This window comes from Homo sapiens, chromosome 6 (assembly GCF_000001405.40).
Source record: "Homo sapiens chromosome 6, GRCh38.p14 Primary Assembly".
NCBI classification, from domain to species: domain Eukaryota; kingdom Metazoa; phylum Chordata; class Mammalia; order Primates; family Hominidae; genus Homo; species Homo sapiens.
In genome coordinates this window covers 77,904,643-77,927,066 of record NC_000006.12, presented here as the reverse complement: position 1 = coordinate 77,927,066, position 22,424 = coordinate 77,904,643, and the positions used below count along the sequence as shown (strand labels likewise).

Sequence of the window (22,424 nt, the reverse complement as noted above, 5' to 3'; positions counted from 1 at the left end):
TAAAAACAAAGGACTTTCATATTAAGAAACAAAAAAGAGGCTGAGTTTATTTTTTATGTTTGTAATACTCTGTAATATTTAGAAAGTTCTTACAAGACCAGTATATTTATTAACCAGATAAATTTTGTATTATACAATTCTATAAATAATTCGGAATCAATTAACTTTTAACAATAATAAAATCCTATATATTTTTTCAATATTAGATAAACATTAACAAGTTAATTATCTCCTTCAGCAAATATTGATGTAGTTGGGTCATTATATTGACTGCTAAGAGAAAGCTTGGTTTCATAAATCTGACAAAAGTTAAAGCTTAGTATGTTTTATTTTTGCAAATAATTGGTTTGTAGACAATTGGTGCTTCATATTTGATGAATAAATGAAATTAGGTTACAATAAAGCAGAGCTGTCAATATTTTCCCCATAATATGGCGTTCAGAAAATCTGTAAATGTACATAAAATTTTGGAAATGCAAATGCCTTGTTTCCCTGCCTCTCTTGAAATATGCTGACCTTGGCTAAAAGACAACAAATACCATTAAAAAGTACAAGGCCTGTGAGATAATCGTATATATTTTTCCAAGAACAAACCAGTCAGATTTGTTTTCTCTCCCCATTTTGCTTATCATTACAGCCTCACAGTCTACCTAAACACCTCTGGAGGGAGCTCTGTACCTTTTAGGACATTATCGTTTGAAGACAATCTGTAACTTGGCTACAGTCTTGAGTAGCAAGATGCTACAACCCTGAAAAGGTCAAAGATGCTGTTCCTCTGGTTTACTTATAGATAGGACAACTTGTTTACAGCAATTAAAAAATCCAAAATAAGCTAATCATAAGCTAGTAATTTCCACTGTTGTGCCTTAAGGTTCATAGTTAAGCATGTATAAAGCTTTGATGACAATTGCAAAGAAGCTGTGTTTGTGAAAGTTTACTGAAGTGCCAGGAGAGCTGCACATAACAGGCAGTGCAGTAAAGTAGGAGTGTGGAATTGGAAGATGGACTGCCTCAGGATGAAACCTAACTGCCACTTCCTGGTGTTGTGAACTTGGGCAAGTTCTGAGTTCTTCATCTCTAAAATACAGATTCAGGAAATAATCGTACCTTTCTCATTACAGGTGCTGGGAGAATCAAACAGTTTAATATATGTAAAATGCTTAGGTAAGTACCTGGCTATTTGGTATTTATTATACATATCGTATATATATGTATAATATTACTTATTCATATATTTTATTATATAAATGTATATAAAATATTTAATATATATTTACTCTCATATAAAATATATTATCATATATTTATTATAGCTTATATTAAATAGTATAAGAGTTATAGCAATTATCATCACTTTTTATTTGCTTCATTTTTATGATCATTCTATGGTTCTCTTTATTTCCTATCCTATCTTATATCCAGTTTCAATGCTGCCCAATTACTACTGACTCCATTACTCTTATCCCTAAAACCTTAATTCTAAAGTTAGACATTACCTAAATATAAACTGTTATAACATTCTTAAACATTGTAATACCAGTTTAAATCATTCATTAATTCACTGCTTTACTGAAACACAGATAAAAATGTCTCATTTTATCATTTTATCTTCTTTTTGACCAGTAGATTTGGACCTTAATACTAATTTACTACACCATTCACTCTGATATAGACTGAAACCCAGGATAATTAAAGTATCATATACTTGGTGGAAGTTAAATGTTTATATAAAATGGATACCAAATGGAAATAAAATGTTTCTCCATTTTGTGCATTCACAGTGATCCCAACATCTTGCATCTTCTTTTATAATAAATATATTTCCTAGGCTAATTTTCAGACCTTGAAGCCTTGGAGACCACTGAAATTAATAAATTTGTTGTAGCTCCAAAAGTCTCTTAGCTGATCATTACGTTGGCTGGCTGCAATAGGGAAAGGGCCATTGCTGATACTTGTGTATTTACCAATCTTGTTTAATCACAATGAAAGAAGATGAAGGTGTCATGGAAAGTGGATTTTGTGTAATGCTATATCAACTGAAGTGACTTCCATAAGCCTTCACAGGTGTTCACAGGAATCAGACATTAGAAAAATCCCTCCTAATCCAAGATTTGGAATATACTTCTTGTATTCAACTGGTACTTGTTGTGAAGTAAATTATTGGCCCTAATAATTACCTACCTACATCCATGCTCATTGCCCTGTAACTGCAAGTTCTCCCACTCAAGTCTACTCCCCTGTCAGTCACTTTTCTTTGGGCTTGACCATTTGATGTACTTTGACAATGCATGTGGATGGAAGTGCTAATGTGACATTTCTCAGCCTAGCCTTTCGTCTTGCTCAATTGCCACTGCCATGAGAGGAGCTTCCACTGAGAAGCTACTATCCCCCAAGTCTGGTTCTCAGAATATGCACATGTGGAAGAGAAGAAAGCCTGACTTTTAGCAAGAAGCCTATTCCTGTGGTATGTGCAACCTCAGCAGAGCTTTTCATTAAAGTCAAGTCCAGTCCAAATCAGCTGATCCTTGAGTGACCTGCATATATCTGAGAAATATTATTGTTGTATGCCACTGATAGATATTTTGTGATTGATTATCTATCTGTCACATAACAAAAGCTGACTGACATACATGTAGTTTCAGGATTATCAAAAAGGCATTATCTTTTCAAAAATGCTAGAAATAATTCCAAAGATAATTGTTTGTGCCAGATGACATAATTGTATATACATTGTAGATGGAATTATCAAGATTACTTTTAATGCCAACGACATTTAGGAATGCTAATTAACTTATGAAACACCATCACATATCATTAATAAAGGAAATTTATATTTTGTGTTCCCTAAATGGCACTATAGGAAATGTAACATATGCTCATTAAGTTTGCGGTTATGATTTTAATCATTGAAATGAAGTCAATGAAATTGTATAACTGAAAAATTCCACCAAATAACTATAAATTTCACTTTTAGATGGATATTAGAATTTATAAAATATGTCTAGTGACTTAATTGTATACTATTTAACAATTACAAGACTATTATAACATATTTAATTAACAGAATTGAAACAAGTATTTGTTGAAAAACAAAGAACATTTTAAACAACTAATTAATAGTATTTTCAAAAGAGCTCGACAAATGTATTAGCCATATGAAATTGAAATAAATAAAAAGCAATTAAGTTTCCAAATGTTAAAAAAGTTCTACTTCTATATGATTCTCGTCTAAGGTGAAAGCAATGATATAAGTTCAACTATGTAAGAAAAAGTTTTAAAAATTGCATTTATGACCACTTCTTATATTCCAACACTTTGTGTTGATAATGCAACTAAACTTCTTTAAAAATCTCTTTCTTTGATTACCATTTAGCATCAATTATATGGAAATCTTTTACAACTTCAATATCTTTTAAGGGACAGACAATTAATGGTCCATTTTACAGAATAATAGAGCTAAACTATATTGAGTGAAATAAGATACAGTTACATGGGAATAAGGATGGCATTACCAACCGAAACTGGCTGATTTTAGTATAGAAATATGACTCATAAAATTTCATACAATTTAAGACTAACCATTAAGTTGAATTGATAATTATATTTAGAGATCAATTCTAAAATGCTAATTAAAATACTATTGAAAATCTTTTCAGTATGAGATTTTCATATATTCTACTTTATTATGCTTCAAACGTGGTAAATTGCTAAGGAATGGAGTTATTTTCTAAGAGTTTCTATCTGTGCTGAGCTCAAAAGAATGCCCACTCTCCATAAATAAAAAGTAAACAAAGGAAATGCATCAGAAAGTTGGAAAATAGTTTCATCATGCTTCTGAAGAAATTTCTTGATTTCTTGGTCATCATGACCTATACTTGAAGTGTTGCCTTCTTCGGTTTCCTTTTGAAGAAGCTGCTCCAGAACCCAGAACAGGTAGAAAATGTTTTCATAGCGTGACACATCATAACTGGCTTGCTCCTACAAATAAACAACAAACTCCTTTAAAAAATTGGGTATAAATTACCTAAGAAAAATGTCATATAAAGATATCAGAGTTTCAGGCAAACGAAATATATTTGAAATATTTAACACCTTCTGTCATCCTGTCACTGGTGAACAAGGGGGAAATAAAAAACATTTCCTTTATTCAAAGACTTTACAATCATGGTGAATGACTTTTCTTTCTTGCTGTTTCATGAAGCTCCAAATCCTTTCCCTGCATTCTTGCAGAGAATACTCAAATGAATCTGAGAATACTTGGCAAGGGGTCTTAACAGTGACTTGGCAAGGAGTCATACCAGTGTTAAATTCAATCTTTTGCCAAAACTTTTGAATTCATGGTACTTATTTTGATATAAAACAATCCCAGAGTAGTAGGTTCATCATCTATAGGGGAATAGATGTGATATCATACTGAATCTTCCTGATACAACTCAACTCAGGGAGGGGTAGCATTGAATCATATACATAGTCATGAGAAGAAATGTAGATGCATCTTGTAGAACTTTTAATTTGGACTAGATGGTTGAATGTGAGATAGATAAGTCAAGTCACAGAAAGGCCTAAAAACTAGACAATAGCAAGCATAAAATGAGAGAATGGCAGAATCAGTATAAAAATGAAAACTGGCTTTATCATTAGCTAATTAATTAAGAAATGTGTCAGAAGCCCTATGAGGTGAGCAGATAGTTTATCACTATTCCACAGTCAAGGAAATGGATCCTCTGAAAAGTAGACTAATTAGAACTCAAATCCACAGAACTTTTTTTATTTTCCTGGTACATTTTTGTTCAAATTCATTAAGAAAGTATTAACATTGAGAAAAAAAGAAAACTCCTTTGGGAACATTTACGAAATATTTTCACTGTATTAATACAAAAATGAAAGAACATTCTTTTAGAGTTGAGACAAATATATTCTTCAACAAGGTGACCCAATAAGCAGAGTAAGATATATACAGGCATACCTCATTTTAGTGTGCTTTACATTATTGTACCTCCCAGATATTGCAATTTTTTCAAATTGAAGGTTTGTGGCAACCCTGCATCAAACTAGTCTATCAGAGTCATTTTTCCAACATGTGCTCACTTTGTATCTGTGTCACATACTGGTAATTATCACAATATTTCAAATTTTTCACTGTTACTTTATCTGTTACAGTGATCTGCAATCAGTCATCCATGATGTTACTACTTTGTTTTGAGATACCACAAACCATGCCCATATCAGATGGTGAACTTAACTGATAAGTGTGTGTGTTCTGACTGCTTCACCAATTGGCCATTACCTATCTCCCTTACTCTCCTTAGGCCTCCTTATTCTCTGAGACAAAACAATATTGAAATCAGGCCAATTAATAACCCTACAAATGGCCTCTAAGTGTTCAAGTGAAAGAAAGAGTTGCCTATCTCCAATTTTAAATCAAAAGCTAGAAATCATTAAGCTTAGTGAAGAAGGCATGTCAAAATCTGAGACAGGCCAAAAGCTAGGACTTGTGCCAAAGTTAACCAAGTTGTAAATTCAAAGAAAGAGTTCTTGAAGGAAATTAAAAGTAAAGTTCTCTTCCACTGAACACACAAATAATAAGAAGGGGAAACAGCCCGACTGGTAACATGGAAAAAATTGTAGTGGCCTGAATACAAGACCAAACCAATCACAATATTCACTTAAGCCAATACCTGAACCAGAGAAAAGGCCTAACTCTTCAATTTTATGAAGGCTGAGCAAAGTGAGGAAGCTACAGAACAAAACTCACTCTGAAGATAGATAGCAGAGGCTGGTTCAGGAGGCTTAGGGAAGAAGCCACCTTTATAACATAAAATTACAAGGTGAAGCAACAAATGCTGATATAGAAGCTGCAGAAAGTTATCAAGAAGTTATAGGTAAGATAATAAATGAAGGTGGCTACACTAAATAACAGTTGTTCAATGTGGATGAAACAGCCTTCTACTGAAAGAAGATGCCGTCTAGGAATTTTGTAGCTACAGGGGAGAAATAAATGCTGAGCTTCAAAGGATTGGCTGACTTTACTGTTAAAGATTAATGCAGTTGGTGTCTTGAAGTTGAAGCCAGTGCACATTTACCATTTCAACAATTCTGGAATCCTTAAGTATTTATTATGCTAAATCTACTCTGGCTGCAATCTATCAATAAAACAACAAGCCTGGATGAAAGCATTGTTTACTGAATATTTTAAGCCTACTGTTGAGACTTACAGCTCAGAAGAAAAGATTCCTTTCAAAAGATTACTGCTCATTGACAACACACCTGATCATCCAAAAGCTCTGATGGATGCATAAAGAGATTAATGTTTTAATGTCTACAAACACATCTATTTTGCAGCCCATGGCTCAAGAGTAATTTTTGTTTATAAGTCTTATTTAAGAAACTTATTTTATAAGGCTATAGCTAACATGGATATTGATTCCTCTGATGAATATGGGCAAAGTAAATTGGAAACCTTCCGGAAGGGATTCACCATTCTAGATGTCATTAAGAAAATGTGTAATTCATGAAAGAAATACAAAATATCAATATTAACAGGAGTTTGGAAGAATTATTGAATGACTTTGATGGCTTCAAGACTTCAGTGGAGGAAGTCACTGCAGATGCGGTGAAAATAGCAAGTGGAATAGAATTAGAGGTGGATCTATTGAGATAATCATGTGGTTTTTGTCTTTGGCTCTGTTTATATGCTGTATTACATTTATTGATTTGCGTATATTGAAACAGCCTTGCATCCCACGGATGAAGCCCACTTGATCATGGTGGATAAGCTTTTTGATGTGCTGCTGGATTCGATTTGCCAGAATTTTGTTGAGGATTTTTGCATCAATGTTCATCAAGGATATTGGTCTAAAATTCTCTTTTTTGGTGGTGTCTCTGCCAGGCTTTGGTATCAGAATGATGCTGGCCTCATAAAATGAGTTAGGGAGGATTCCCTCTTTTTCTATTGATTGGAATAGTTTCAGAAGGAATGGTACCAGTTCCTCCTTGTACCTCTGGTAGAATTCGGCTGTGAATCCATCTGGTCCTGGACTCTTTTTGGTTGGTAAACTATTGATTATTGCCACAATTTCAGCTCCTGTTATTGGTCTATTCAGAGATTCAACTTCTTCCTGGTTCAGTCTTGGGAGAGTGTATGTGTCGAGGAATTTATCCATTTCTTCTAGATTTTCTAGTTTATTTGCGTAGAGGTGTTTGTAGCATTCTCTGATGGTAGTTTGTATTTCTGTGGGATCGGTGGTGATATCCCCTTTATCATTTTTTATTGCGTCTATTTGATTCTTCTCTCTTTTTTTCTTTATTAGTCTTGCTAGAGGTCTATCAATTTTGTTGATCCTTTCAAAAAACCAGCTCCTGGATTCATTAATTTTTTGAAGGGTTTTTTGTGTCTCTATTTCCTTCAGTTCTGCTCTGATTTTAGTTATTTCTTGCCTTCTGCTAGCTTTTGAATGTGTTTGCTCTTGCTTTTGTAGTTCTTTTAATTGTGATGTTAGGGTGTCAATTTTGGATCTTTCCTGCTTTCTCTTGTGGGTATTTAGTGCTATAAATTTCCCTCTACACACTGCTTTGAATGCATCCCAAAGATTCTGGTATGTTGTGTCTTTGTTCTCGTTGGTTTCAAAGAACATCTTTATTTCTGGCTTCATTTCGTTATGTATCCAGTAGTCATTCAGGAGCAGGTTGTTCAGTTTCCATGTAGTTGAGCGGTTTTGAGTGAGATTCTTAATCCTGAGTTCTAGTTTGATTGCATTGTGGTCTGAGAGATAGTTTGTTATAATCTCTGTTCTTTTACATATGCTGAGGAGAGCTTTACTTCCAAGTATGTGGTCAATTTTGGAATAGGTGTGGTGTGGTGCTGAAAAAAATGTATATTCTGTTGATTTGGGGTGGAGAGTTCTGTAGATGTCTATTAGGTCCGCTTGGTGCAGAACTGAGTTCAATTCCTGGGTATCCTTGTTGACTTTCTGTCTTGTTGATCTGTCTAATGTTGACAGTGGGGTGTTAAAGTCTCCCATTATTAATGTGTGGGAGTCTAAGTCTCTTTGTATGTCACTCAGGACTTGCTTTATAATTCAACAACCCTTCATGCTAAAAACTCTCAATAAATTAGGTATTGATGGGACGTATTTCAAAATAATAAGTGCTATCTATGAGAATCCCACAGCCAATATCATACTGAATGGGCAAAAACTGGAAGCATTCTCTTTGAAAACTGGCACAAGACAGGGATGCCCTCTCTCACCACTCCTATTCAACATAGTATTGGAAGTTCTGGCCAGGGCAATTAGGCAGGAGAAGGAAATAAAGGGTATTCAATTAGGAAAAGAGGAAGTCAAATTGTCCCTGTTTGCAGATGACATGATTGTATATCTGGAAAACCCCATTGTCTCAGCCCAAAATCTCCTTAAGGTGATAAGCAACTTCAGCAAAGTCTCAGGATACAAAATCAATGTACAAAAGTCACAAGCATTCTTATACACCAACAACAGACAAACAGAGAGCCAAATCATGAGTGAACTCCCATTCACAATTGCTTCAAAGAGAATAAAATACCTAGGAATCCAACTTACAAGGGATGTGAAGGACCTCTTCAAGGAGAACTACAAACCACTGCTCAAGGAAATAAAAGAGGATACAAACAAATGGAAGAACATTCCATGCTCATGGGTAGGAAGAATCAATATCATGAAAATGGCCATACTGCCCAAGGTAATTTACAGATTCAATGCCATCCCCATCAAGCTACCAATGACTTTCTTCACAGAATTGGAAAAAACTACTTTAAAGTTCATATGGAACCAAAAAAGAGCCTGCATCGCCAAGTCAATCCTAAGCCAAAAGAACAAAGCTGGAGCCATCATACTACCTGACTTCAAACTATACTACAAGGCTACAGTAACCAAAACAGCATGGTACTGGTACCAAAACAGAGATATAGATCAATGGAACAGAACAGAGCCCTCAGAAATAACGCCACATATCTACAACTATCTGATCTTTGACAAACCTGAGAAAAACAAGCAATGGGGAAAGGATTCCCTATTTAATATATGGTGATGGGAAAACTGGCTAGCCATATGTAGAAAGCTGAAACTGGATCCCTTCCTTACACCTTATACAAAAATCAATTCAAGATGGATTAAAGACTTAAACGTTAGACCTAAAACCATAAAAACCCTAGAAGAAAACCTAGGCATTACCATTCAGGACATAGGCATGGGCAACGACTTCATGTCCAAAACACCAAAAGCAATGGCAAGAAAAGACAAAATTGACAAATGGTATCTCATTAAACTAAAGAGCTTCTGCACAGCAAAAGAAACTACCATCAGAGTGAACAGGCAACCTACAAAATGGGAGAAAATTTTTGCAACCTACTCATCTGACAAAGGGCTAATATCCAGAATCTACAATGAACTCAAACAAATTTACAAGAAAAAAACAACCCCATCAAAAAGTGGGCAAAGGACATGAACAGACACTTCTCAAAAGAAGACACTTATGCAGCCAAAAAACACATGAAAAAATGCTCACCATCACTGGCCATCAGAGAAATGCAAATCAAAACCACAATGAGATACCATCTCACACCAGTTAGAATGGCAATCATTAAAAAGTCAGGAAACAACAGGTGTTGGAGAGGATGTGGAGAAATAGGAACACTTTTACACTGTTGGTGGGACTGTAAACTAGTACAACCATTGTGGAAGTCAGTGTGGCGATTCCTCAGGGATCTAGAACTAGAAATACCATTTGACCCAGCCATCCCATTACTGGGTATATACCCAAAGGACTATAAATCATGCTGCTATAAAGACACATGCACACGTATGTATATTGCGGCATTATTCACAATAGCAAAGACTTGGAACCAAGCCAAATGTCCAACAATGATAGACTGGATTAAGAAAATGTGGCACATATACACCACGGAATACTATGCAGCCATAAAAAATGATGAGTTCATGTCCTTTGTAGGGACATGGATGAAATTGGAAATCATCATTCTCAGTAAACTATCGCAAGAACAAAAAACCAAACACCGCATATTCTCACTCATAGGTGGGAATTGAACAATGAGATCACACGGACACAGGAAGGGGAATATCACACTCTGGGGACTGTGGTGGGGTGGGGGTAGGGGGGGAGGGATAGCATTGGGAGATATACCTAATGCTAGATGACGAGTTAGTGGGTGCAGTGCACCAGCATGCCACATGTATACATATGTAACTAACCTGCACAATGTGCACATGTACCCTAAAACTTAAAGTATAATATTAAAAAAAAAAAAGAATTAGAGGTGCAGCCTGAAAATGTGACTGAATTGATGCAATCTCATAATAAAACTTGAATGGATACATACTGGTTTCTAATGGATAAGCAAAGAAAGTGGGTTCTTGATATGGGATCTTCTTTTGGTTAAGATGCTATAAACATTGTTGACAACAAAGATTTGGAATACTATGTAAAATTAGTAGGTAAAGCCATGGAGGAAATAAGAAACAATACTAATACTGCTTAGAGCTGAGGAAATCATAAGAAGACCACACAATGCATGCTCCCAGAATCTGATCAACATCAACCAAACTAACCAACACCATGTGCCTAATATAACCAAAATAATGGAATTATCTTTAGGAAAAAGTCATCTACTAAAAAAACAAATTTCAAAAATGGGAAAAGCAACTGATATACCAGATGTTCAGATATCAAACTAAGGACACAAGATACATGATAAAAGGAAAGATTTTGCCACTAAACACAGTAATTCTCCAGCAACAATTTATTATGGAAAATAAATTTATGAAATCCTGGAAAAAGAATTCAAAATATCAATTTTAAAAAAAGCTCAGTGAGATAGAACACAGATAGACAATACAAAGAAATCAGAAAAAGTAATTCATGATATGAATGAGAAATGTATCAATGAGATAGATAGCATTAAAAAGAACTTAAATTTTAGAACCGAATAATTCATTGAATAAAACACAAAATATATTTGAAAGCTTCAATCAACTAGGTCAAGCAGAATTAAAAAATCCAGAACTTGAAAATAGGTTTTTTGAAACAACCCAGTCAGACAAAAATAAAGATGACAGAATGAAAAAGAATGAATAAAGAATATGTGACATTGGCACCATGATAAAGGAAACAAATATTTGAATTTCCAGTGACCCCCAAATGCAAAGAGAGAACAAAAGGGAGAGAAAAGCAATTTAACAAAATAATAGCTGAAAACTTCTCAAGTCTAAAAAGATATTTAGACAGCCAAACACAGGAAGCTCAGAGATCCCCAAAGAGACAGAATTAAAAAAGATCTTCCCTACTGTATATTACATTGCAGTAAAAAGAAACAAAGAAGGTCATTATATAATTATAAAGGGACCAATTAGAAAGAAGATATAACAATTCTAAACACATATGCACCCAACACTAGATCACCCAGATACATGTAGTAATACTTATATCCGATAAAACTGTCAAAAGTCAAAGGCAAAGAGAGCAATAGCAAGAGAAAAGCCCATGGTCACTTTTAATGAACACTCACCATATGAACAGTGGATTTCTAAGCAGAAACCTTACAGGACAGGAGAGAAGAGGATGATTTATTCAAAGTCTAAAAAAAGGAAAAAACCTGCCAGTCAAGAATAACATACCCAATAAAGGAAGTCTTCATAAAGAGAAATTAAGTATTTCCCAGACAAGCAAAATCTCATGAGACTCATCACCATTAGACTGGCCCTACAAGAAATGCTGAAAGGAGTCCTACAACCAGAAGTGAAATGAAGATATCTACCATTATGGAAATACACAAAGGTTTATTATGAACTAGTAGAGCAAACAAATAAGGAAGACAAAGGACTTAAATGTTACCGATACAGAAAACTGCCAAATCACAATAGAAAGCAAATAGATAAAAGGAAAGGAAGGAAAGACACACAAACAGCCAGAAACCAATTAGTAAAATGGCAGGAATAAGCCATCACATATTAATAACAACCTTGAATATAAACAAATTAAACTTTCCACTTAAAAGATATAGATCAGCTGAATGGATTTAAAAACATAACCCCACTATATGCTGCTTACAAGAAACTCATCTCACCTGTAAAGACACATATAGACTGAAAATAAAGGTATAGAAAAAATATTCAATGCAAATAGAAGTGAAAAGTAGCAGGAGAAGTGATACTTTGATAAAATAGACTTTAAGTCAAAAAAAAGTGAAGTCAATCTATATGATAAAAGTACAATACACCACGAAGATAGGACAATTTTAAACATATATGTACCCAACACCATTGTCTACAGATATACAAAGCAAATATTATTAGATCTAAGGGGAGAGATAGGTTACAATACTCTAATAGTTGGGAACTTCAACAACCAACTCTAAGCATTAGACGGATTATCTAGACAGAAAATCAACAAAGAAACATTGGATTTAAACTGAACATAGACCAAATGGACCTAACAGACACTTACAGAACATTTCTTCCATGAATATAAGTTATTCTTATCAGCACATGAAATATCCCCCAGGATTGACCATGTTAGAACACAAAAGTCTTAAAAATCTAAAAAAAAATTAGTATTAAGTATCTTCTGTGACCACAGTGGAATAAAATATAAAATCAGTAAAAAGAAGAACTTTAGAAACTGTACAAATACATTCAAATTAAATAATATGTGCCTGAATGAGCATTAGGTCAAGAAAATATTAGGGAGAAAATTAAAAAATGTCTTGAAACAAATAAAAATCAATACGCAACATATCAAAACATGGGATATAGCAAAAGCAGTACTGAAAGGAAAGTTTATAGTAATAAAAGTCTACATAAAAAGGTAGAAAGATTTCAAACAATCTAATGATATAGCTCAATAAACAAACTAGGAAAACAAGAATAAACCAAATTCACCCTTAATAGAAAAAAAAAACTAATAAAGATCAAGCAGAACTGATGATGAAATAGAAACTCATATAAACAATATAAAACATCAACGAAAGTTTTTTTTTTTTTTCTTGAAACAGTTTCACTCTGCTGGCCAGGATGGAGTGCAGTGGCATGATCTTGGCTCACTGCAAGCTCCACCTCCTGGATTCACGCCATTCTCCTGCCTTAGCCTCTGGAGTAGCTGGGACTACAGGTGCCCGCCACCACACTCAGCTAATTTTTTTGTATTTTTAGTAGAGACGGGGTTTCACTGTGTTAGCCAGGATGGTCTCAATCTCCTGACCTCGTGATCTGCCTGCCTTGCCTCCCAAAGTGCTGGGATTACAGGAGTGAGCCACCGTGCCCGGGCTCAACAAAAGTTTTTCTAAAAAAAAAAAAACTAAACAAAATCGATAATCTGTTATCTAGACTAACCAAGGAAACAAAGGTAGAATATCCAAATAAATACAAGCAGAAATGAAAAGGGAGACATTGCAACAGATACCATAGAAATACAAAAGATCATCACAGACAATTATGAACAACTATACATTAACAAAATGGATAATCTCGAGGAGATAAATAAATTCCTGGACACAAACAACCTGCCAAAAATGATTCAGAAAGAAATAGAAAACTTTAACAGATCAATCACAAGTAATGAAATTGTATCAGTAATAAAAACATCTTCTAACAACACAAAAAGTTCAGGACTGGATGGCTTCACTGTTGAACTCTACCAAACTTATAAAGAATAACACAAATTATCCTCAAACTATTCCAAACAACTGAAGAGGAGTGAATTCTCCCTAATTCGTTCTAAGAGACCAGTTATTACCCTACTACCAAATTCAGCAAAGAAGTAACAAATAAATAAAACTACAGGTCAATAAACATAATGAACACAGTTGCAAACATAATCAACAATATGCTAGAAAACCAAATACACAGCGCATCAAAAGGAAAATACACTGCGATCAAGTAGAATTCATCCCAGAAATGCAAGGATAGTTCAATACATTACACCAATGGAATAAAGGACAAAACCCATGTGATCATCTCAATAGATGCAGATAAAACATTTGATTACATTCAACATCTTTTCATAATGGGAAAGTTCAATAAACTAGTCATAGAAGGAACATACTTCAACATAATAAAGGCCATATATGATACTCCCACAGCTGCTAACATCAGACTGAATGGAGAAATTCTGAAAGCTTTTCCTCTTGCTACTGGAACAAGACAAAGATACCTAGTTTAACTCTAATATTTTTATTCCACATAGTACTAGAAGTCCTAACCAGAGCAATTAGGCAAGAGAAATAAATAAAATGCATCCAAATTGGAAAAGAGGAAGTCAAACTGTTCCTTTAGGCAAATGATATCTTTTATCTAGAAAAACCTAATGCCCACCAAAAACTCTTAGATCTAATAAACTCAGTAAAGTTGGAGAAAACTGAAACAATATACAAATCCCTGTAGAATTTCTAGACACTAATAACCAACTTATTGAGAAAGATATCAAGATGGTAATCCCATTTAAAATACTACAAAAATTACCCCCCAAAAAAAACATGTAACCACAGTGGTTAAAGGCCTTTACAAGGACAACTACAGACTACTGATAACAAAAATGGAAGAAAACACAAATAAATGGACAGGCATCTCATACTCATGGATAGGAATAATTAACATTGAAATGATCATATTACTCTAATCTACAGATTCAATACAATCCTTTTTAAAATACCAATATCATTTTTCGTATAAATAGAAACAATCCTAAAATTCACATGGAAACAAAAAGGAGCCCAAATATCCAAAGCAATCCCGAGGAAAAAGAGCAAAGCTAGAGGGATCACACTACCTGACTTCAAAATATATTACAATGATTAAGTAATCAAAACAATATAGTATTGGTATAAAAGCAAACATAGACTAATTGAACAGAATAACAAATGCAGAAATAATTCCATATATTCACAGCCAAGTGACGTTCAACAATGATATCAAGAACATCCACTGGGAAAAGGACACCCACATTAGTAAATGATGTTAAATAAGTTGTATATCCATATGTGGAAGAATGAAAATGGACCCCACTACCTCTCCATATACAAAATTCAACTCAAGATCAATTAAAGACTTAAATATAAGCCATGAAGCTATGAAACAACTAGAAGAAAGCAGAGAAAACACTTCAGGACATTTTTCTAGGCAAAGATTTTAAGGCAAAGACCTCAAAAACACAGGCAACAACATCAAAAAGATAAATGCACTCACGTGTTCATCAAAGCACTATTCACAATAGCAAATACATGGAGTCAACCTGGATGCCCATCAACAGTGGACTGGATAAAGAAGATGTATTTATATATATATATATTATATATATAAATAAAATATATGTATTATATACATAATATATGCATTATATATATCATGGAATACTATTGCAGCTATAAAAAGAGAACAAAATCATGTCTTTTGCAGCAGTGCAAATGCAGCTAGAGGCCATTACCTAAGCAAATTAATTAATGCAGGAACAGAAAACCAAATACCACACATTTTCACATATAAGTGGAAGCTAAACATTGAGTACACATGAACAGCAAGATGGGAAAAATAGACACCAGGGACTACTATAGCAGGTAGGGTCAGAAGGAGGGGGTAATACCTGAACAACTACCTATTGGGTACCGTGCTCACTACCTCAGTGAAAAGATCATTTGTATACCAAACTGCAGTGACACAGAAATTATCCATGTAATAAACTTGCATATGTACCCTGTGAAGCTAAAGTAAAAGTTAGAAAACAAAAAACAAAAAAATAGTTGAATTGGACTATATTGAACTAAGAAGATTCTGCATAGCAAAGGAAACCATCAAGAGGGCAGAGGTAACTTACAGAATGAGAGAATATATTTGCCAACTACTTATCTAAATAAATGGACTAATATCCAGAGTATGCAAGAAACTCAAGCAATGCAACAATAAAAAATAAATAATCCAAGTAATAAGTGGGCAAAGGACATGAACCAACATGCCTTAGGAGGAGACATACAAATGGGTAACAGTTATACAAAAAAATGCTCAATGTAATCATCAGGGAAATGCAAATAAAAACTACAATGTGATCCGTCTCATTCCAGTTAGAATGGCTATGATTAAGAAGACAAAAAAAAAAAAAAAAACCAGAAGCTGGTGAGAATGTGGATAAAAAGGAATGTTTATGTACTGTTAGTAGGAATGCAAATTAGTGTAGCCATGGAAAGCAGTATGGTGATTTCTCAAAAAAACAAAAAATAGAATTACAATATAATCCACCAATCCAACTACTATTTGTCCAAAGGAAATTAAATCAGTATCTCAAAAGGATACCTGCATCACCATGTTCACTGGAACCCTATTCACAATAGCCAATACCCAATTCGTGAAGAAACTCATTGGTAGCTTGATGGGGATGGCATTGAATCTATAAATTACTTTGGGCTGTATGGCCATTTTCACAATATTGATTCTTCCTACCCATGAGCGTGGAATGTTCTTCCATTTGTTTGTATCCTCTTTTATTTCATTGAGCAGTTGTTTCTAGTTCTCCTTGAAGAGGTCCTTCACGTCCCTTGTAAGTTGGATTCCTAGGTATTTTATTCTCTTTGAAGCAATTGTGAATGAGAGTTCACTCATGATTTGGCTCTCTGTTTGTTATTGGTGTATAAGAATGCTTGTGATTTTTGCACATTGATTTTGAATCTTGAGACTTTGCTGAAGTTGCCTATCAGCTTAAGAAGATTTTGGGCTGAGACAATGGGGTTTTCTAGTTATACAATCATGTCATCTGCAAACAGGGACAACTTGACTTCCTCTTTTCCTAATTGAATGCCCTTTATTTCCTTCTCCTGCCTGATTGCCCTGGCCAGAACTTCCAACACTATGTTGAATAGGAGTGCTGAGAGAGGGCATCCCTGTCTTGTGCCAGTTTTCAAAGGGAATGCTTCCAGTTTTTGCCCATTCAGTATGATACTGGCTGTGGGTTTGTCATAGACAGCACTTATTATTTTGAGATACGTCCCATCAATACCTAATTTATTCAGAGTTTTTAGCATGAAGGTTGTTGAATTTTGTCAAAGGCCTTTTCTGCATCTATTGAGATAATCATGTGGTTTTTGTCTTTGGTTCTATTTATATGCTGGATTACATTTATTGATTTGCATATGTTGAACCAGCCTTGCATCCCAGGGATGAAGCCCACTTGATCATGGTGGATAAGCTTTTTGATGTACTACTGGATTCGGTTTGCCAGTATTTTATTGAGGATTTTTGCATGGATGTTCATCAGGGATATTGGTCTAAAATTCTCTTTTTTTGTTGTGTCTCTGCCAGGCTTTGGTATCAGGATGATGCTGGCCTCATGAAATGAGTTAGGGAGGATTCCCTCTTTTTCTATTGATTGGAATAGTTTCAGAAAGAATGGTACCAGTTCCTCCTTGTACGTCTGGTAGAATTTGGCTGTGAATCCATCTGGTCCTGGACTTTTGTTGGTTGGTAAGCTATTAAATATTGCCTCAATTTCAGAGCCTGTTACTGGTCTATTCAGAGATTCAACTTCTTCCTGGTTTAGTCTTGGGAGGGTGTATGTGCTGAGGAATTCATTCATTTCTTTTACATTTTCTAGTTTATTTGCATAGAGGTGTTTATAGTATTCTCTGATGGTAGTTTGTATTTCTGTGGGATCGGTGGTGATATCCCCTTTATCATTTTTTATTGCGTTTGTTTGACTCTTCTCTCTTTTCTTCTTTAGTAGTCTTGCTAGCGGTCTATCAGTTTTGTTGATCTTTTCAAAAAACCAGCTCCTGGATTCACTGATTTTTTTGAAGGGTTTTTTGTGTCTCTATCCATGTAGTTGAGCGGTTTTGAGTGAGTTTCTTAATCCTGAGTTCTAGTTTGATTGCACTGTGGTCTGAGAGACATTTTATTATAATTTCTGTTCTTTTACATTTGCTGAGGAGTGCTTTAGTTCCAACTATGTGGTCAATTTTGGAATAGGTGTGGTGTGGTGCTGAAAAGAATGTATATGCTGTTGATTTGGGGTGGAGAGTTCTGTAGATGTCTATTAGGTCTGCTTGGTGCAGAGCTGAGTTCAGTTCTGGATATCCTTGTTAACTTTCTGTCTCGTTGTTCTGTCTAATGTTGACAGTGGGGTGTTAAAGTCTCCCATTATTACTGTGTGGGAGTCTAAGTCTCTCTCTTTGTAGGTATCTAAGGACTTGTTTTATGAATCTGGGTGCTCCTGTATTGGGTACATATATATTTAGGAGAGTTAGCTCTTCTTGTTGAATTGATCCCTTTACCATTATGTAATGGCCTTCTTTGTCTCTTTTGATCTTTGTTGGTTTAAAGTCTGTTTTATCAGAGACTAAGATTGCAACCCCTGCCTTTTTTTGTTTTCCATTTGCTACTTTAAAGTTCATATGGAACCAAAAAAGAGCCCACATTGCCAAGTCAATCCTAAGCCAAAAGAACAAAGCTGGAGGCATCATGCTACCTGACTTCAAACTATACTACAAGGCTACAGTAACCAAAACAGCATGATACTGGTACGAAAACAGAGATATAGACCAATGGAACAGAACAGAGCCCTCAGAAATAATGCCGCATATCTACAACCAACTGATCTTTAAAAACCTGACAAAAACAAGAAATGGGGAAACGATTCCCTATTTAATAAATGGTGCTGGGAAAACTGGCTAACCATATGTAGAAAGCTGAAACTGGATCCCTTCCTTACACCTTATACAAAAATTAATTCAAAATGGATTAAAGACTTAAATGTTAGACCTAAAACCATAAAATCCCTAGAAGAAAACCTAGGCAATACCATTCAGTACATAGGCATGGGCAAGGACTTCATGGCTAAAACACCAAAAGCAATGGCAACAAAAGCCAAAATTGACAAATGGGATCTAATTAATCTAAAGAGTTTCTGCACAGCAAAAGAAACTACCATCAGAGTGAATAGGAAACTTACAGAATGGGAGAAAATTTTTGCAATCTACTCATCTGACAAAGGGCTAATATCCAGAATCTACAATGAACTCAAACAAATTTACAAGAAAAAAAAAAAAACCCCATCAACAAGTGCGTGAAGGATATGAACAGACACTTCTCAAAAGAAGACATTTATGCAGCCAAAAGACAAATGAAAACACGCTCGTCATCACTGGCCATCAGAGAAATGCAGATCAAAACCACAATGAGATACCATCTCATACCAATGAGAATGGTGATCATTAAAAAGTTAGGAAACAACAGGTGCTGGAGAGGATGTGGAGAAATAGGAGCACTTTTACACTGTTGGTGGGACTGTAAAGTAGTTCAACCATTGTGGCAGTCAGTGTGGAAGTCAGTTCTAGATTCCTCAGGGATCTAGAACTAGAAATACCATTTGACCCAGCCATCCCATTACTGGGTATATACCCAAAGGATTATAAAACATGCTGCTATAAGGACACATGCACACATATGTTTATTGCAGCACTATTCCCAATAGCAAAGACTTGGAACCACGCCAAATGTCCAACAATGATAGACTGGATTAAGAAAATGTGGCACATATACACCATGGAATACTATGCAGCTGTAAAAAATGATGAGTTCATGTCCTTTGTAGGGACATGGATGAAGCTGGAAACCATCATTCTCAGCAAACTATCACAAGGACAAAAAACCAAACACTGCATGTTCTCACTCATAGGTGGGAATTGAACAATGAGAACACATGGACACAGGAAGGGGAACATCACACACCGGGTCCTGTTGTGGAGTGCGGGGAGGGGGAAGGGATAGCATTTGGAGATATACCTAATGTTAAATGAAGAGTTAATGGGTGCAACACACCAACATGGCACATGTACACATATGTAACAAACCTGCATGTTATGCACATGTACCCTAAAACTCAAAGTATATTTAAAAAAAATGGCTAGTAATTCAATATTCTCCCATGTTTTATTTTGCCTGAGTGAAAAAAATCTTGCTATTTCAAAATAAAGTTTTCAGTTTAACCATACCTTAAAAAAAAAAATAGCCAAGATCTAGAATCTATCTGAGCATCTATCAACATAAGAATGTATAAATGTCTCAGACGCTGTAGTGCACAGTCATACAGAGCTAGTTCAGATGTTTCTCTTTGAAGCCATGGTCTCTTGAGCATACCCATGCTTTGGGTTAAGCATAGCAGCCATAGAGAGCTACATCTACAGCGAACTCTGAGCCTGCCTGTCCTCTCTTTCTTGACTTCCCAGGTGTTTCATAATCACCCATGCCTTGCATACAGTTACCAATGTGGCAATGGATGCACCTGTGCCCTAAGCCCAGTGCCATTACTGCCCCAGACTCCAGAGTCAGTATTCCCTCCCTGCAAGCCTATATGTTAGGCCTCAGCCCTATGCTTGACCAACTCATCGGACTCCAGTGCCACCACGGATATAAAAGGGCTAGCAAACTTAACCCAATGCCAAAATGGATTTATTCAATTACAACTTCTCCAGCAGGAAAATAAAAGACTGAAAGGACCCTAGTAGTGATTGTTATTAAAGGTCCCAGCAATTCTCATCACAACTGTAGATATCCACAGTGTTTGCTGCTAAGGATACATGCAATCTTCATCAACCTTGACATCAGTTGATAGAACTATACAGAGACTATGCAACTTTGCCCTTGGTGCTGGAACCTCTGAACTCCAACTAGCAAGCACCGCTGTACACACCCACCCCATAAGGCATGATCTTTCAACACCAAAACTAGTATGCAGAGTCTGAATAAATGACTTCTCCACCAAATGTGCAGACATCAGCACAAAGCAACAAGAAACATTAAAAACCAAAGAGGCATATCACCACAAAGACCACGATAATTTAGTAGTTGCCCCAAAGAAATGGAGATGTGCAAATTTTCTGAGAAATAATTAAAAATAATTATTTTAAGGAAGCTCAGCACAGTTTAAGAAAATACACAGAATTAGTTTATTGAAATCGGGATAACAATTAAAAAATGATAAATTTTACAGAGATATTAAAATTGTATTAAAAAAGGAAAATTCCGGGGCTGAAAATACAATAAATAAAAAACAATATTTTCAATAGCAGAATGCATCAAGTAGGAAAAAAGATTTAGAGACAAGTTATTTGAAAATATGCGAAGAAGAGAAGAAAACTGAATTTATGGAACAAAATGAAAAGATCAAGTATTGTAAATTATGAGTTAAAGAAGAGAAAAAAATATAAAGGGACAGAAATCTTATATTATTAAAAAAAAAAAAAGCTGGCCCGGCTCAGTGGCTCACGCCTGTAATCTCAGCACTCTGGGAGGCCGAGGTGGGCAGATCACAAGGTCAGGAGATCAAGACCATCCTGGCTAACACAGTGAAACCCAATCTCTACTAAACATACAAAAAATTAGCTAGGCATGCTGGCACACATCTGTAGTCCCAGCTACTCAGGAGGCTGAGGCAGGAGATTCACTTGAACCTGGGAGGCGGAGGTTGCAGTGAGCTGAGATCGTGCCACTGCACTCCAGCCTGGGAGACAGAGTGAGACTCTGCCACAAAAAAAAAAAAAAAAAAAAAAAAAAAAAAAAAAAAAAAGCTGAAAATTTATACAATCTATAGAAAGATATAAATTTTCTGATATATAAATGGCAAAGGTGTCTAATTACATTCAATCCAAATAAAACTGTACAAGACATATTATAGCCATGGATTCAAAAATCAAAGTCAAAGAGAGGATCATGAGAGTAGCAAGAAAAAGAAGCATATCACATACTGAAAAAGGAGTTTTTAGTAAGGCTATGAACAGAATTTTTAGAGGTCAGAAGAGAGAGATGATGTATACAAAATGCCCAGAAAAAACAAACAATCCCCCCAAAACAACAACAACAGCAAACTGCCAACCGAGACTAATTTATCTGGCAAAGCGGTCTTTCAGAAATGAATAAGAGATAAAGACTTCCCCAGACAAAAGTGAGAGAGTTTATCAACCCCCAGAACTGTCTTAAAAATTGTGAAAAGGAGTTATTTAAGGTAAGAAAATGATGCTATTAGTAACCTAAAACATGAAAGTATAAAACTCACTGGTAAAAAGTAAGCATAAAGGAAAATTAGAATATTCTAATATTGTAAAAGTGGCATGTATATCACTTAAATCTTAGTATGAAGCCTAAAAGAAAAAATACTAAAAATAATAATAGCTAAAATAATCTGTTCAAGGGTACACAATATAAAAAGATGCAAATTGTGAAACTGAAAACATAAAATGTGGGGAGATAGTAGAAGTGCAGATTTCTTTATGCAATGAAAGTTAAATTGGATTTACAATAGCAAAGACATGGAATCAACCTAACTGCTCATCAACCGTGGACTGGATAAAGAAAATGTGGTGCATATACATCATGGAATATTCTGCAGTCATAAAAATGAAT

The 22,424-nt window shown here is 35.1% G+C and overlaps 1 protein-coding gene and 1 long non-coding RNA gene across 5 annotated transcripts in view; one reads left to right on the top strand and one right to left on the bottom strand.

Annotated features, from left to right (window-relative positions):
* The window catches only part of LOC105377865 (uncharacterized), a 374,941-nt gene extending 373,755 nt beyond the window's left edge, over window positions 1-1,186 (top strand). The window contains exon 6 of the long non-coding RNA XR_002956359.2: window positions 1,122-1,186. This is a non-coding gene — a long non-coding RNA (uncharacterized LOC105377865). The remainder of the gene's footprint in view (window positions 1-1,121) is intronic.
* MEI4 (meiotic double-stranded break formation protein 4) overlaps window positions 22-22,424 on the bottom strand; it is a 276,772-nt gene continuing 254,369 nt past the window's right edge. For all 4 annotated transcript variants that reach the window (NM_001282136.3, NM_001322247.2, XM_017010155.2 and 1 more), the window contains one exon: window positions 22-3,978. In NM_001282136.3, the coding sequence (NP_001269065.1) occupies window positions 3,721-3,978 (258 nt within the window). In that variant the 3' untranslated portion in view covers window positions 22-3,720. The remainder of the gene's footprint in view (window positions 3,979-22,424) is intronic.